Genomic DNA, 15,234 nt, shown 5'->3' with positions numbered 1-15,234 from the left:
ACCCCCAAACCATAAAAACCTTAGAAGAAAATCTAGGCAATACCATTCAGGACATAGGCACAGGCAAATATTTCATTATAAAAACTCCAAAAACAATTGCAACAAAAGCAAAAATTGACAAATGGGATTTAATTAAATTATAAAGATACATGCATGTGTATGTTCGTTGCAGCACTATTCACAATGGCCCAATGACATGGAATCAACTCAAATACCCATTAATGACAGACTGGTTAAAAAAAATGTGGTACATATACAACATGGAGTACTATGCAGCCATAAAAAAGAATGAGATAATTTCCTTTGCAGGGACATGAATGAAGCTGGAAGCCATTATCCTCAGCAAACTACTGCAGGAACAGAAAAATCAAACACTGCATATTATCACTTATAAGTGGGAATGGAACTATGAGAACACATGGACATATAGTAGTGGGAAACACACACTGGGGCCTATCAGGGGTGGTGGGTGGAAGGAGAGCATCAGGAAGAATGGCTAATGTATGCTGGGCTTAATATCTAGGTGATGGGCTGATTGTTCATCAAACCACCATAGCACACATTTACCTGTGTAACAAACCTGCACATCCTGCATATGTACCCCAGAACATAAAATAAAAGTTGAAGAAATGGGGAGGAGCCAAGATGGCCGAATAGGAACAGCTCCAGTCTACAGCTCCCAGCATGAGCGACACAGAAGACGGGTGATTTCTGCATTTCCATCTGAGGTACCGGGTTCATCTCACTAGGGAGTGCCAGACAGTGGGCGCAGGTCAGTGGGTGCGTGCACCATGCGCCAGCCGAAGCAGGGCGAGGCATTGCCTCACTTGGGAAGCGCAAGGGGTCAGGGAGTTCCCTTTCCGAGTCAAAGAAAGGGGTGACAGACGCACCTAGAAAATCGGGTCACTCCCACCCGAATACTGCGCTTTTCTGACCTGCTTAAAAAACGGTGCACCACGAGATTATATCCCGCACCTGGCTCGGAGGATCCTAGGCCCACGGAGTCTCCCTGATTGCTAGCACAGCAGTCTGAGATCAAACTGCAAGGCGGCAGCGAGGCTGGGGGAAGGGCGCCCGCCATTGCCCAGGCTTGCTTAGGTAAACAAAGCAGCCGGGAAGCTCGAACTGGGTGGAGCCCACCACAGCTCAAGGAGGCCTGCCTGCCTCTGTAGGCTCCACCTCTGGGGGCAGGGCACAGACAAACAAAAAGACAGCAGTAACCTCTGCAGACTTAAATGTCCCTGTCTGACAGCTTTGAAGAGAGCAGTGGTTCTCCCAGCACGCAGCTGGAGATCTGAGAACGGGCAGACTGCCTCCTCAAGTGGGTCCCTGACCCCTGACCCCCGAGCAGCCTAACTGGGAGGCACCCCCAGCAGGGGCACACTGACAGCTCACAAGGCAGGGTATTCCAACAGACCTGCAGCTGAGGGTCCTGTCTGTTAGAAGGAAAACTAACAAACAGAAAGGACATCCACACCAAAAACCCATCTGTACATCACCATCATCAAAGACCAAAAGTAGATAAAACCACAAAGATGGGGAAAAAACAGAACAGAAAAACTGGAAACTCTAAAAAGCAGAGCACCTCTCCTCCTCCAAAGGAACGCAGTTCCTCACCAGCAACGGAACAAAGCTGGATGGAGAATGACTTTGACGAGCTGAGAGAAGAAGGCTTCAGACGATCAAATTACTCTGAGCTACGGGAGGACATTCAAACCAAAGGCAAAGAAGTTGAAAACTTTGAAAAAAATTTATAAGAATGTATAACTAGAATAACCAATACAGAGAAGTGCTTAAAGGAGCTGATGAAGCTGAAAACCAAGGCTCGAGAACTACGTGAAGAATGCAGAAGCCTCAGGAGCCGATGCGATCAACTGGAAGAAAGGGTGTCAGCAATGGAAGATGAAATGAATGAAATGAAGCGAGAAGGGAAGTTTAGAGAAAAAAGAATAAAAAGAAACGAGCAAAGCCTCCAAGAAATATGGGACTATGTGAAAAGACCAAATCTACGTCTGATTGGTGTAACTGAAAGTGATGGGGAGAATGGAACCAAGTTGGAAAACACTCTGCAGGATATTATCCAGGAGAACTTCCCCAACCTAGCAAGGCAGTCCAACGTTCAGATTCAGGAAATACAGAGAATGCCACAAAGATACTCCTCGAGAAGAGCAACTCCAAGACACATAATTGTCAGATTCACCAAAGTTGAAATGAAGGAAAAAATGTTAAGGGCAGCAAGAGAGAAAGGTCGGGTTACCTTCAAAGGGAAGCCCATCAGACTAACAGCGGATCTCTCGGCAGAAACCCTACAAGCCAGAAGAGAGTGGGGGCCAATATTCAACATTCTTAAAGAAAAGAATTTTTAACCCGGAATTTCATATCCAGCCAAACTAAGTTTCATAAGTGAAGGAGAAATAAAATACTTTACAGACAAGCAAATGCTGAGAGATTTTGTCACCACCAGGCCTGCCCTAAAAGAGCTCCTGAAGGAAGCGCTAAACATGGAAAGGAACAACCAGTACCAGCCACTGCAAAATCATGCCAAAATGTAAAGACCATCGAGACTAGGAAGAAACTGCATCAACTAATGAGCAAAATCACCAGCTAACATCATAATGACAGGATCAAATTCACACATAACAATATTAACTTTAAATGTAAATGGACTAAATGCTCCAATTAAAAGACACAGACTGGCAAATTGGATAAAGACTCAAGACCCATCAGTGTGCTGTATTCAGGAAACCCATCTCACGTGCAGAGACACACATAGGCTCAAAATAAAAGGATGGAGGAAGATCTACCAAGCAAATGGAAAACAAAAAAAGGCAGGGGTTGCAATCCTAGTGTCTGATAAAACAGACTTTAAACCAACAAAGATCAAAAGAGACAAAGAAGGCCATTACATAATGGTAAAGGGATCAATTCAACAAGAAGAGCTAACTATCCTAAATATATATGCACCCAATACAGGAGCACCCAGATTCATAAAGCAAGTCCTGAGTGACCTACAAAGAGACTTAGACTCCCACACATTAATAATGGGAGACTTTAACACCCCACTGTCAACATTAGACAGATCAACGAGACAGAAAGTCAACAAGGATACCCAGGAATTGAACTCAGCTCTGCACCAAGCAGACCTAATAGACATCTACAGAACTCTCCACCCCAAATCAACAGAATATACATTTTTTTCAGCACCACACCACACCTATTCCAAAATTGACCACATACTTGGAAGTAAAGCTCTCCTCAGCAAATGTAAAAGAACAGAGATTATAACAAACTATCTCTCAGACCACAGTGCAATCAAACTAGAACTCAGGATTAAGAATCTCACTCAAAACCACTCAACTACATGGAAACTGAACAACCTGCTCCTGAGTGACTACTGGGTACATAACGAAATGAAGGCAGAAATAAAGATGTTCTTTGAAACCAACGAGAACAAAGACACAACATACCAGAATCTCTGGGACGCATTCAAAGCAGTGTGTAGAGGGAAATTTATAGCACTAAATGCCCACAAGAGAAAGCAGGAAAGATCCAAAATTGACACCCTAACATCACAATTAAAAGAACTAGAAAAGCAAGAGCAAACACATTCAAAAGCTAGCAGAAGGCAAGAAATAACTAAAATCAGAGCAGAACTGAAGGAAATAGAGACACAAAAAACCCTTCAAAAAATTAGTGAATCCAGGAGCTGGTTTTTTGAAAGGAACAACAAAATTGATAGACTGCTAGCAAGACTAATAAAGAAAAAAAGAGAGAAAAATCAAATAGACGCAATAAAAAATGATAAAGGGGATATCACCACAGATCCCACAGAAATACAAACTACCATCAGAGAATACTACAAACACTTTTACGCAAATAAACTAGAAAATCTAGAAGAAATGGATAAATTCCTCGACACATACACTCTCCCAAGACTAAACCAGGAAGAAGTTGAATCTCTGAATAGACCAATAACAGGAGCTGAAATTGTGGCAATAATCAATAGTTTACCAACCAAAAAGAGTCCAGGACCAGATGGATTCACAGCTGAATTCTACCAGAGGTACAAGGAGGAACTGGTACCATTCCTTCTGAAACTATTCCAATCAGTAGAAAAAGAGGGACTCCTCCCTAACTCATTTTATGAGGCCAGCATCATTCTGATACCAAAGCTGGGCAGAGACACAACCAAAAAAGAGAATTTTAGACCAATATCCTTGATGAACATTGATGCAAAACTCCTCAATAAAATACTGGCAAACCGAATCCAGCAGCACATCAAAAAGCTTATCCACCATGATCAAGTGGGTTTCATCCCTGGGATGCAAGGCTGGTTCAATATACACAAATCAATAAATGTAATCCAGCATATAAACAGAGCCAAAGACGAAAACCACATGATTATCTCAATAGATGCAGAAAAAGCCTTTGACAAAATTCAACAACCTTTCATGCTAAAAACTCTCAATAAATTAGGTATTGATGGGACGTGTTTCAAAATAATAAGAGCTATCTATGACAAACACACAGCCAATATCATACTGAATGGGTAAAAACTGGAAGCATTCCCTTTGAAAACTGGCACAAGACAGGGATGCCCTCTCTCATCACTCCTATTCAACATAGTGTTGGAAGTTCTGGCCAGGGCAATTAGGCAGGAGAAGGAAATAAAGGGTATTCAATTAGGAAAAGAGGAAGTCAAATTGTCCCTGTTTGCAGACGACATGATTGTATATCTGGAAAACCCCATTGTCTCAGCCCAAAATCTCCTTAAGCTGATAAGCAACTTCAGCAAAGTCTCAGGATACAAAATCAATGTACAAAAGTCACAAGCATTCTTATACACCAACAACAGACAAACAGAGAGCCAAATCATGAGTGAACTCCCATTCACAACTGCTTCAAAGAGAATAAAATACCTAGGAATCCAACTTACAAGGGATGTGAAGGACCTCTTCAAGGAGAACTACAAACAACTGCTCAAGGAAATAAAAGAGGATACAAGCAAATGGAAGAACATTCCATGCTCATGGGTAGGAAGAATCAATATCGTGAAAATGGCCATACTGCCCAAGGTAATTTACAGATTCAATGCCATCCCCATTAAGCTACCAATGCCTTTCTTCACAGAATTGGAAAAAACTACTTTAAAGTTCATATGGAACCAAAAAAGAGCCTGCATTGCCAAGTCAATCCTAAGCCAAAAGAACAAAGCTGGAGGCATCACACTACCTGACTTCAAACTATACTACAAGGCTACAGTAACCAAAACAGCATGGTATTGGTACCAAAACAGAGATATAGATCAATGGAACAGAACAGAGCCCTCAGAAATAACGCCGCATATCTACAACTATCTGATCTTTGACAAACCTGAGAAAAACAAGCAATGGGGAAAGGATTCCCTATTTAATAAATGGTGCTGGGAAAACTGGCTAGCCATATGTAGAAAGCTGAAACTGGATCCCTTCCTTACACCTTATACAAAAATCAATTCAAGATGGATTAAAGATTTAAACGTTAGACCTAAAACCATAAAAACCCTAGAAGAAAACCTAGGCATTATCATTCAGGACATAGGCATGGGCAAGGACTTCATGTCTAAAACACCAAAAGCAATGGCAACAAAAGCCAAAATTGACAAATGGGATCTAATTAAACTAAAGAGCTTCTGCACAGCAAAAGAAACTACCATCAGAGTGAACAGGCAACCTAGAAAATGGGAGAAAATTTTTGCAACCTACTCATCTGACAAAGGGCTAATATCCAGAATCTACAATGAACTCAAACAAATTTACAAGAAAAAAACAAACAACCCCATCAAAAAGTGGGCGAAGGACATGAACAGACACTTCTCAAAAGAAGACATTTATGCAGCAAAAAAACACATGAAAAAATGCTCACCATCACTGGCCATCAGAGAAATGCAAATCAAAACCACAATGAGATACCATCTCACACCAGTTAGAATGGCAATCATTAAAAAGTCAGGAAACAACAGGTGCTGGAGAGGATGTGGAGAAATAGGAACACTTTTACACTGTTGGTGGGACTGTAAACTAGTTCAACCATTGTGGAATTCAGTGTGGCGATTCCTCAGGGATCTAGAACTAGAAATACCATTTGACCCAGCCATCCCATTACTGGGTATATACCCAAATGACTATAAATCATGCTGCTATAAAGACACATGCACACGTATGTTTATTGCAGCATTATTCACAATAGCAAAGACTTGGAACCAACCCAAATGTCCAACAATGATAGACTGGATTAAGAAAATGTGGCACATATACACCATGGAATACTATGCAGCCATAAAAAATGATGAGTTCATGTCCTTTGTAGGGACATGGATGAAATTGGAAATCATCATTCTCAGTAAACTATTGCAAGAACAAAAAACCAAACACCACATATTCTCACTCATAGGTGGGAATTGAACAATGAGATCACATGGACACAGGAAGGGGAATATCACACTCTGCAGACTGTGGTGGGGTGGGGGGAGGTGGGAGGGATAGCATTGGGAGATATACCTAATGCTAGATGACGAGTTAGTGGGTGTAGCGCACCAGCATGGCACATGTATACATACGTAACTAACCTGCGCAATGTGCACATGTACCCTAAAACTTAAAGTATAATTAAAAAAAAAAGTTGAAGAAAAAAAGAGTTGATGTTATACATGTAAGGAGCAGATCTTAATGATGTTTGTTTTGCTGTCTTAATCTTAAAGTACATCATAGGAATATCATAGAACTGAACAAATATCTGTGGAATTCCATGATGTTTACCATATTAGGCTTCTCTGAAATACCATAACACAATAGGGTCTGAGCTACTATGTGCAATGACTCCTAATCTATGTTCTATTTCCCACTTCTTCATTTACAACATGAGAATACTTTACTTGTTACCTGGTGTCAGTTTTGTAATTTCTCCTTTTCAGGGATGACAATAACATCGGTTGAAGAAAAATCTCAATCAGAGAAGTTATCTTACATCTTCCTCAAGGAAAGTATGTTGTTGCTATTGTCTCATGATATAATTCCTATGCACTGTAGTATTTTTTCATTATAATGGCACATTAATATGAGATAATAGGAGAGCAGTAGCATGCCTATTTACATTATTAACAATTTAAAACAATCTTAAGAAAGATTTTCTGCAATAAATTTCAACTGTACAAGTAAGGTTTAGGCATAAACAAGTCCAGGTAATTTATACATACTATGAATTACTGAGAGCTACTCAAGTAGATGCCTAAAGGGAAACAAAAAATAATTACCTCCATACTAAAAATGTGATTGTTGACAATCATACTAGTTTACATCTTTGTTCCCATCACATCAGGGAAGTTATATTGGGACATTGTAGTTGTTTGAGGGGATACAGCATAAAAGATAGACTTAAATAGCAGACAAGGGCTGCTATTCCCCCCCACCGCCAACTTCCATAATCAGCTGGTGATGGGGAAAAAAAAAAAAACTATTATTTTTTAGAGCTAGATTTATGTCAAGCACCATTCACATAGTAATTCTAAATGATAAAGGGGAGAGCCTTTTGTGTCAGAGAGACCTGGAAGGAAATGCTGGCTCTATCATTTACAGACATATGAGACTAGTCAAATTATTTCACATCTGTGAGCCTCAGTTTCTATTTCTGTAAAATGAGGTTAATTCCTCCCCAAAGGGCTGCTGTGAAGTATTAAACAAGATAATGCATGTAAAGTAGTGATGGCAATGGCTGGCCTTTGATGAGTACTGTTTATTTGCAATAATTATAATTTCATTTGTTTTACTATTTTGAATGTAAATTTTATTGACGTATAACTTACATTAAATAAAATTTACCTTTTTAGTGAATAGTTCTATGACTTTTGACAAGCACATATAGTCTTAAAACCAACACCACAAGATACAGAAAAATTTCATCTCCCCAAAAATTTCGTTGTCATAAAGGCCCTCTTTGCCATCATCACACTGTGGCAAACTCTAATTTGTTTTTGTCTTTCCGGTATAGCCTTTTCTAGAAATGTCATATGAATGGAATTATGCAATATGTAACTTTTGAATCTGGATTCTTTTACTCCGCATAACACCATTGAGCTATTCTCATTTAGTTTGTACATATATTACTATTCTTAGTGCAGAAAAATTAAGTACAGAAAGTTAGGTAATTTACTCAAATCCATAATTATTAGAAGACAGAAATTTGGTTCTGGTTCTTTCAAAGTTGTGTTTCTTGTTTGCTATGTCATATTGCCTGCCTCCTGTTGGCCTATAGCTTATTAAACTCCCACTGCCAATTCTGGAGTTTATGCTGATATTCAGACATTTAGTCTTCTACACTCCTGCAATGAAATAGACAGAAAGCTAAGATGCCAGATTGTATTAGGATGCACAGAGAGATTCTGAACAAAATTCTTATGTTCTGCCACACTGACATTCATAGCAGTCATCATTTTACCTTAATGTAGTCCATGATTCCCTTCTTATTTGTACCAGATAGTGTGAGGGGCATTTTGCATATACTGTTTCCTATAATTCCTACAATAGTCTGGAAAGCTATTATTCATTCCATTTACGGACAAGGAAGTTAAGACACAAAAATGCCAACCAGCAGCTAGAGAGTAAAGCCAGGATTTGCAGGCTGGTATATCTCTCTCCAAAGTTAGAGCTCTGTCTATGAGGACTTCTGCCACTCACAATGGAAGCCGTTGTTTATTGCCATTTTGCTAGACAGTTTCACATACATTATGCAATTTAACACTCACAAAGGTCCTGCATATAGATGGTATCAACCCATTCTAAATAGGAGAAAAATTATGCTCAAGGGATTTAAGTAATCTGCTCAAATTAACTAGCAGAGTCAGAATTCCATTCTAAGTCCATGCCCTATTCACTATTCCATGAAGCACTATGCCAGAAGAAAAGGAGGAAAAAGAGGGAAAGGAAGGAAAAGGAAGGAAAGAATGTTCCTATGTGTGTTCCTTGTATAGTTCACTAGAATAACCTTCACTAAGGTTTTGTCTGTTAAATATTAGGTAAGAAAACATATGCAAATGAAATACAGTCCTAATAATAATAGCCGATGTTTCTTCTTGCTTCCATTGCAAGAGGCACTATTTTAAACATTTTACATGCACAGCATTAACTCATATATGTTTCACAAAAACCCTAAAAGATGATAATTAATATTATTCCTATTTTACAGACATGGAAACTTCTGAGATTTGAACCTTGGCACTCCTAGAGAGCCTATGCACTTAAAGCACTCTGCTGTACTGTGTAAAAAGATTTCAAATGTGCTTTCTCCAAGTGCTAGAAGCAATGACTTGGAAAACCTCTATTTAAAGTAGTGTTCCCCCTTAAATGGGTACCATTTGGTTATAAGGTATGAACAAGAAACACTAAATATTTTCGTCCTTCGTGCAATTGGTAAAAAGAATAAGGGAGATCTGGGCCGGGCGCGGTGGCTCACGCCTGTAATCCCAGCACTTTGGGAGGCCGAGGCAGGCGGATCAACAGGTCAGGAAATTGAGACCATCTTGGATAACACGGTGAAACCCCGTCTCTACTAAAACTATAGAAAAAAAAAAAAAAAACACTAGCCAGGCGTGGTCCTGTAGTCCCAGCTACTTGGGAGACTGAGTCAAGAGAATGGCGTGAACCCGGGAGGCGGAGCTTGCAGTGAGCCGAGATGGGGCCACTGCACTCCAGCCTGGGCGACAGAGGGAGACTCCGTCTCCAAAAATAAAAAGAATAAGGGAGATCTGTTTTCCCCAAAATGGAATGATATTCACAATGTTAAACGAATACAACCAAACTGCACAATAATGTATACAATGTGATACTTTTAAATTAAAATGCATAAATGTTTTTTATGCATTATAAGCATTAACACCCCTTCTCCTAACACTAGGTGCTTCTGAGGGAGAAGGAAAGGGACCAAGAGTAGGACATTGTCAAACATGGTTTTAGTCTCATTTTTTACAAAGAACATGTATTAATATGTTGTTTGTCTAATTGAAAATGTTTATTTCTTCTCTTTTTTTCATTCTGATAAATGTCTGTCAATGTTTTATCACATTAAGTCATTTGGGGAAACATATAGTTTTATATTAATTTATTTGCCTGTACTCTCAGAAGTGGGTATTTAAAAAAACTATTATGTATTAGTAAATTCACTATGCTTCTGTAAGATACCTGCTGTTCAACATGAATTTATGGAATATTTCTTGAGTTATATTTTTATTATGTATTTAGATTTTAAGATCTGTTTGTTTTTATCTAGAGCTTTTATGTGACAGTTTCTTTAAAATACTTATATACCTACCATAATCTTCTTTAAATTCTTAATTCTAGTACATTCCTAAGGTATTTCTCATTCTAATCTTTGTAACCAGTTTCTCCTCCTTTAACAAAATTAGTCCATACTAAAAAAATATTGCTTTCTTGTTGGGACTATCCTGTCTCTGGCTTTCTTCAAGGCCTTCTATGGGTTGAAACTTCTCTGTTCAGACTTGTCAAACTAGTTTCATTTCAACTACTTGTAATTTGTTTCCTTATTTCTTTGAGCCGTAGACTTCTAATACATCTAGAGATGTCATATAGTTGATTAGAAAGTTGAGTTCAGTGGGTGCAGACCTGCAAGATCATATTCTTCCTCCTGTACATGATGTATCGGTAAGTTCAGTTCTGTTTTATAGATGGCTTGTTTGATGTACTGTCTGTCAGTGGCCGGATTCCTGATGTGTAAGAGGACTGCTAGTGAGGTGTCTTTGGTGGATTCAATCTGCACTGGATTTTTTTAAATTTCTGGAATTATCATAGCATCCTGGATTAATTAATTTCTGTGTTTGAAATCAAAGTTTTTGTATAAAAATTGTTAGCATTATTTCATGTGGCCAAGTTCAATAGTTAAGATTTTAGAAAAGGTTAATGAAAAACTATATTACATTGTGTCTTAATTGGTTTTGATTTTTTTGTGTGTGTGGAAGGAGGGTGTTTATATGTTTTAAAACAAGCCTTCTTTCAGCAATATTGACAAAATTTAGCTTCTATAGCGTTTTCTCTTTCGCTGTGTTTACTTGTCCCTTATGGTGGGTCCTTGTGGGACTAATGCAGATTGAGAGGTAAATAGCTGCAGAGACACCTGCCTCCATTGTAGAAGACCCAGGGCTTCCATGTGGGAGAATGAGAAAACAAGCTCAATACTGGGAAAACATGCCTATTCTCTACAATTCTTCCTATTACGTTTTGAAGAAAAAATACATGAATTATTTGGGTATTGTTTTTCAAAATGGGGTATGCCATGTGCAAAGAATATGAAAAAATAAGATTCCTTGGCATAACTTTATATACAGTTAAAATAGTGATTTTAAACAGCCATGATGATAATAATATTTCACCATTGTTTAGACTTGTACTATTTTTGAAACATCTTTATGTATGTTATTTCCTTTAATAGCCAAGACAGCCTTGTGGCTAAGTAGAACAAGTATCACAAGTATCGTTAACTCCCATTTTAAAGCAAGGAATTTGAGGAAAACAGAAGTTAGGGGACGTCTCCAGGTCTAGAGGGCTGTCAGAAGCCAGAATCATGGCTATAATTCCTTGCAGTCCTCAACTCCTTGGAGTCGAGTCTTCCTTATCAGCTACTGCAGCCTGTCTGGGTGGCAAGGATTCCATCCAGTGAATTTCAGAGATGATAATTTGATACGAGATTGGCCACTAAGTTAGTGAACTTCACTAGGTTTCCTTCCCCACTCACAAAATGCATGTTTGCATCAGTCCTTCAGTAATCACATAGTAATTGACAAAAAGTCTCTGAGACCCTCAGAAAGGGTCTTCAATGCTTCAAACATAACCAGTACTCCATAAATATTTGTTGAACAAATGAATGGGCAAGCAGATGTAAATATCTAGCATTAATGTTTGACTGTTAAAAAATTATTTTAAAAATTAATAATTTACTATTAAATTATTAAAGTATATTGAATGTGAAAATGCATATCCATGTTTATAGAATCATGATATTGTAAAACAGGATTTCCAGTTTTTCATATTTCATATTCTCCAAATCACTCTTTTAAAATATCAAGCTCATAATTATGGGCACCAAAAGTGTCCTTTTCTATGAACATTAATATATTTATAGGAGTGTTTGCAGCTTAGGGATGTAAATTACAAGGGTAGAATCAGTGGTCAATGCCATTGTTCCAGACATCAGTGACACCTGCTGATAAAGGAAACAGGCTGGGCGTGGTGGCTCATGCCTGTAATCCCAGCACTTTCGGAGGCCGAGGCAGGCAAATCACTTGAGGCTAGGAGTTAGAGACCAGCCTGGCCAAGATAGTGAAACCCCATCTCTACTAAAAATACAACAATTAGCCGGGCATGGTGGCGCATGCACCTGTAGGCCCAGCTACTTGGGAGGGTGAGGCAAGAAAATCACTTCAACTTGGGAGTCGGAGGTTGCAGTGAGCCAAATCATGCCACTACACTTCAGCCTGGGCAACAGAACAAGACTCTGTCTCAAAAAAAAAAAAAAAAAAAAAAAAAAAAAAAAAAAAAAAAAAAAAAGGAAAAGAAAAGGAAAGGAAAGAAAAGAAAAGAAAGGAAAAAGAAAGGAAATGGTGGGAAACATTGAATGGTTATGGTTTCTTTAAGCCAAATTCATGCAATATTAATTTAGGATTTGGAAGATTTGCAGGAGATGTCAGGTCACACCAACAAGTAGGCTTAAGGATTGAGGCAAAGCAGATGGTTAATAATTACTACAATACCCTATGTCTCACCCACAGTCATTCTACAATATGTTCTACAGTCATGCTAGCCATTCTTACTTCTCCATTAACAAGAAACATAATATGGAAGCCTTGTCAAATATATTCGATTTGTATCCTTGCTCTTTCTGCTATCATGAACCTTGGATCTCTTCTCTATGGGTTCTGTTACCCTCTTCTGTGTATTGCAGGGATTCTTTCTGTTTTGGTGTGAATCTGTTTGAATTTTCCTTTAAGAATAGCCATACACCTACTTTTTCCTACACTTTTGTTAATTGCATGATTCACTCACTTAAGTACCTCAATTATCTTTGTTACAAAAGATAAAATACCAAATGACTTCTTCAGGTGAGATTCTTATCCTGTTCCCAGAAGTCTGGCATCTCTTTTTCCCATAGCTCTTTATTTTCAGCATTGTTTAATAAATGCAAAAAATCAGAATTCTCCTCTTCCTCATCACCTTTAGACAAAAAGATAGTACTGGGCAGGTCCTTTGTATGCTTTCATGTTTTACATTTTAATTTCACTTCAGTTGATTGTTTTAATCAACTTTTAATTTGCCATGAGCAATTCCTAATATATTCTAAAATTATACCTTCAGAATTAAAACAAAAATAGCAAACTCACCATGTTAGTTACTAATTACTAAACTTGTTATAAATTATCAATTAAAAATTACTTTTTGGTTTAGTTTTCAGCAAACTCATAGTGCTTACTATAAATAAGCATTCAAACTATAATATACATATTACATTATGTTGGTGCATTTAATTATCTCAGCAATCCTATGACTTAGGTAATATTATCTCCATTTTATAGGTGAAGAAAGTAGCCCAATATCACAAGCTAGTAAGTGAAGGAGCTGGAATTTCAACCTGAAAAATAGAGCCAGAGCCTGAGTTTAACGAATAGGGTAACTTGACTTTCTTTCTTTCTTTTTAGTAATTTCTAAGAGAAGAATAACTGTTTTTTAATTTAATTTTTTTAAATTTCAACATTTATTTTCGCTATAGTGGATACATCTGCAGGTTTGTTACATAGATATATTGCACCCAGGTAGTGGGCATAGCACCCAATAGGTAGATTTTCCATCTATGCCCTCCTCCCAACCTTGCCCCTCTAGTAGTCTGCAGTGTCCATTATTCCCGTGTTTATGTCTATGTGTGCTCAATATTTATCTCCCATTTATAGGTGAGAGCATGTGGTATTTGGTTTTCTGTTCCTGCATTAGTTTGCTTAGGATTATGGCCTCCAGCTTCATCTATGTTGCTGCAAAGGACATACATTTTTTACAGCTGCATAGTATTCCATGGTGTATATGTAACACATTTTAAAAAACTGAAATCCACTATTGATGGGCACCTAGGCTGATTACATGTCTTGCTATTGTGAATAGCACAGCAATAAACATGAGTGCATGTATCTTTTTGGTATAATGATTTATTTTTCTTTGGATATATATTCAGTAATGGGATTGCTGTGTTAAATAGTTCTGTCTTAAGTTCTTTGAGAAATCTCCAAACTGCTTTCCATTGTGGCTGAACTAGTTTACATTCCCACCTACAGTGTATAAAAATTCCCTTTTCTCTGCAGCCTTGCCAGCAACTGCTGTTTTTTGACTCTTTAATAGTAGCCATTCTGATGGGTGTGAGATAGTATTTCTCTGACGATTAGTAAGGTTGAGCATTTTTTCATGTTTGTTGTCCACCTGTATGTCTTCTTTTAAGAAGTGTCTGTTCATATCTTTTGCCCACTTTTAATGGGGTTATTTGTTTTTTGTTTGTTGATTTAAGTTTTTCATGCATTCTAGGTATTAGACCTTTGTCAGATGCATGGTTTGTGACTATTTTCTCTGATTCTGTAGATTGTCTGTTTATTCGATAGTTTCTTTTGCTGTGCAGATACTCTTTAGTTTAATTAGGTCTCACTTGTCAATTTTTGTTTTGTTGCAATTGCTTTTGGAATTCTTCACCAAAAATTCTTCACCAGGGTTGATGTTAAGAAGGTTATTTCCTAGGCTTTCTATAATTTGAGTAAAATATTCACAATACTAGTCACTCCATAGTGTTCTGTCTATAGTCAATGAATTGAAATATATGTGCTTATCATTCAGATTTAAAGGCAGATTTGTAACATCCTCTTCTTGATTTGTTTTCCTTCTTTTCCAAATCTCTGCCTGTATTAATCCATTTTCATGCTGCTGATAAAGACATACCTGAGACTGCGCAATTTACAAAAGAAAGAGGTTTAATGCACTCACAGTTCCATGTGGCTGGGGAGGCCTCACAATCATGGCAGAAGGTAAAAGGCATGATTGTCTTTCTTACACAGTGGCAGACAAGAGAAGAGAGCTTCTTATAAAACCATCAGATTTTGTGAGACTTATTCATTATCACAAGAATAGCATAGGAAAGATCTGCCTTCATGATTCAATTACCTCC

The 15,234-nt window shown here is 38.0% G+C and overlaps 1 protein-coding gene across 2 annotated transcripts in view, besides 2 other annotated features; it reads left to right on the top strand.

Annotated features, from left to right (window-relative positions):
• Window positions 382–903: an enhancer, noted in NCBI's record as "H3K27ac-H3K4me1 hESC enhancer chr4:68838889-68839410 (GRCh37/hg19 assembly coordinates)". NCBI's record gives its function as "activates a minimal SCP1, AML or CMV promoter by ChIP-STARR-seq in naive H9 embryonic stem cells {active_cell/tissue: H9 hESC(naive)}" and the evidence as "EXISTENCE:reporter gene assay evidence [ECO:0000049][PMID:30033119]".
• Window positions 904–1,425: an enhancer, noted in NCBI's record as "H3K27ac-H3K4me1 hESC enhancer chr4:68838367-68838888 (GRCh37/hg19 assembly coordinates)". NCBI's record gives its function as "activates a minimal SCP1, AML or CMV promoter by ChIP-STARR-seq in naive H9 embryonic stem cells {active_cell/tissue: H9 hESC(naive)}" and the evidence as "EXISTENCE:reporter gene assay evidence [ECO:0000049][PMID:30033119]".
• Window positions 10,581–15,234, top strand: part of TMPRSS11A (transmembrane serine protease 11A) — a 54,099-nt gene continuing 49,445 nt past the window's right edge. For both annotated transcript variants that reach the window (NM_001114387.2, NM_182606.4), the window contains exon 1: window positions 10,581–10,691. In NM_001114387.2, coding sequence (NP_001107859.1) covers window positions 10,681–10,691 — 11 coding nt within the window. In that variant the 5' untranslated portion in view covers window positions 10,581–10,680. The remainder of the gene's footprint in view (window positions 10,692–15,234) is intronic.

The sequence above is a fragment of the Homo sapiens genome, chromosome 4 (genome assembly GCF_000001405.40).
Source record: "Homo sapiens chromosome 4, GRCh38.p14 Primary Assembly".
Taxonomy (NCBI): Eukaryota; Metazoa; Chordata; class Mammalia; order Primates; family Hominidae; genus Homo; species Homo sapiens.
The sequence above is the reverse complement of the archived record's forward strand: the minus strand, read 5'-3'. Positions and strand labels throughout refer to the sequence as shown.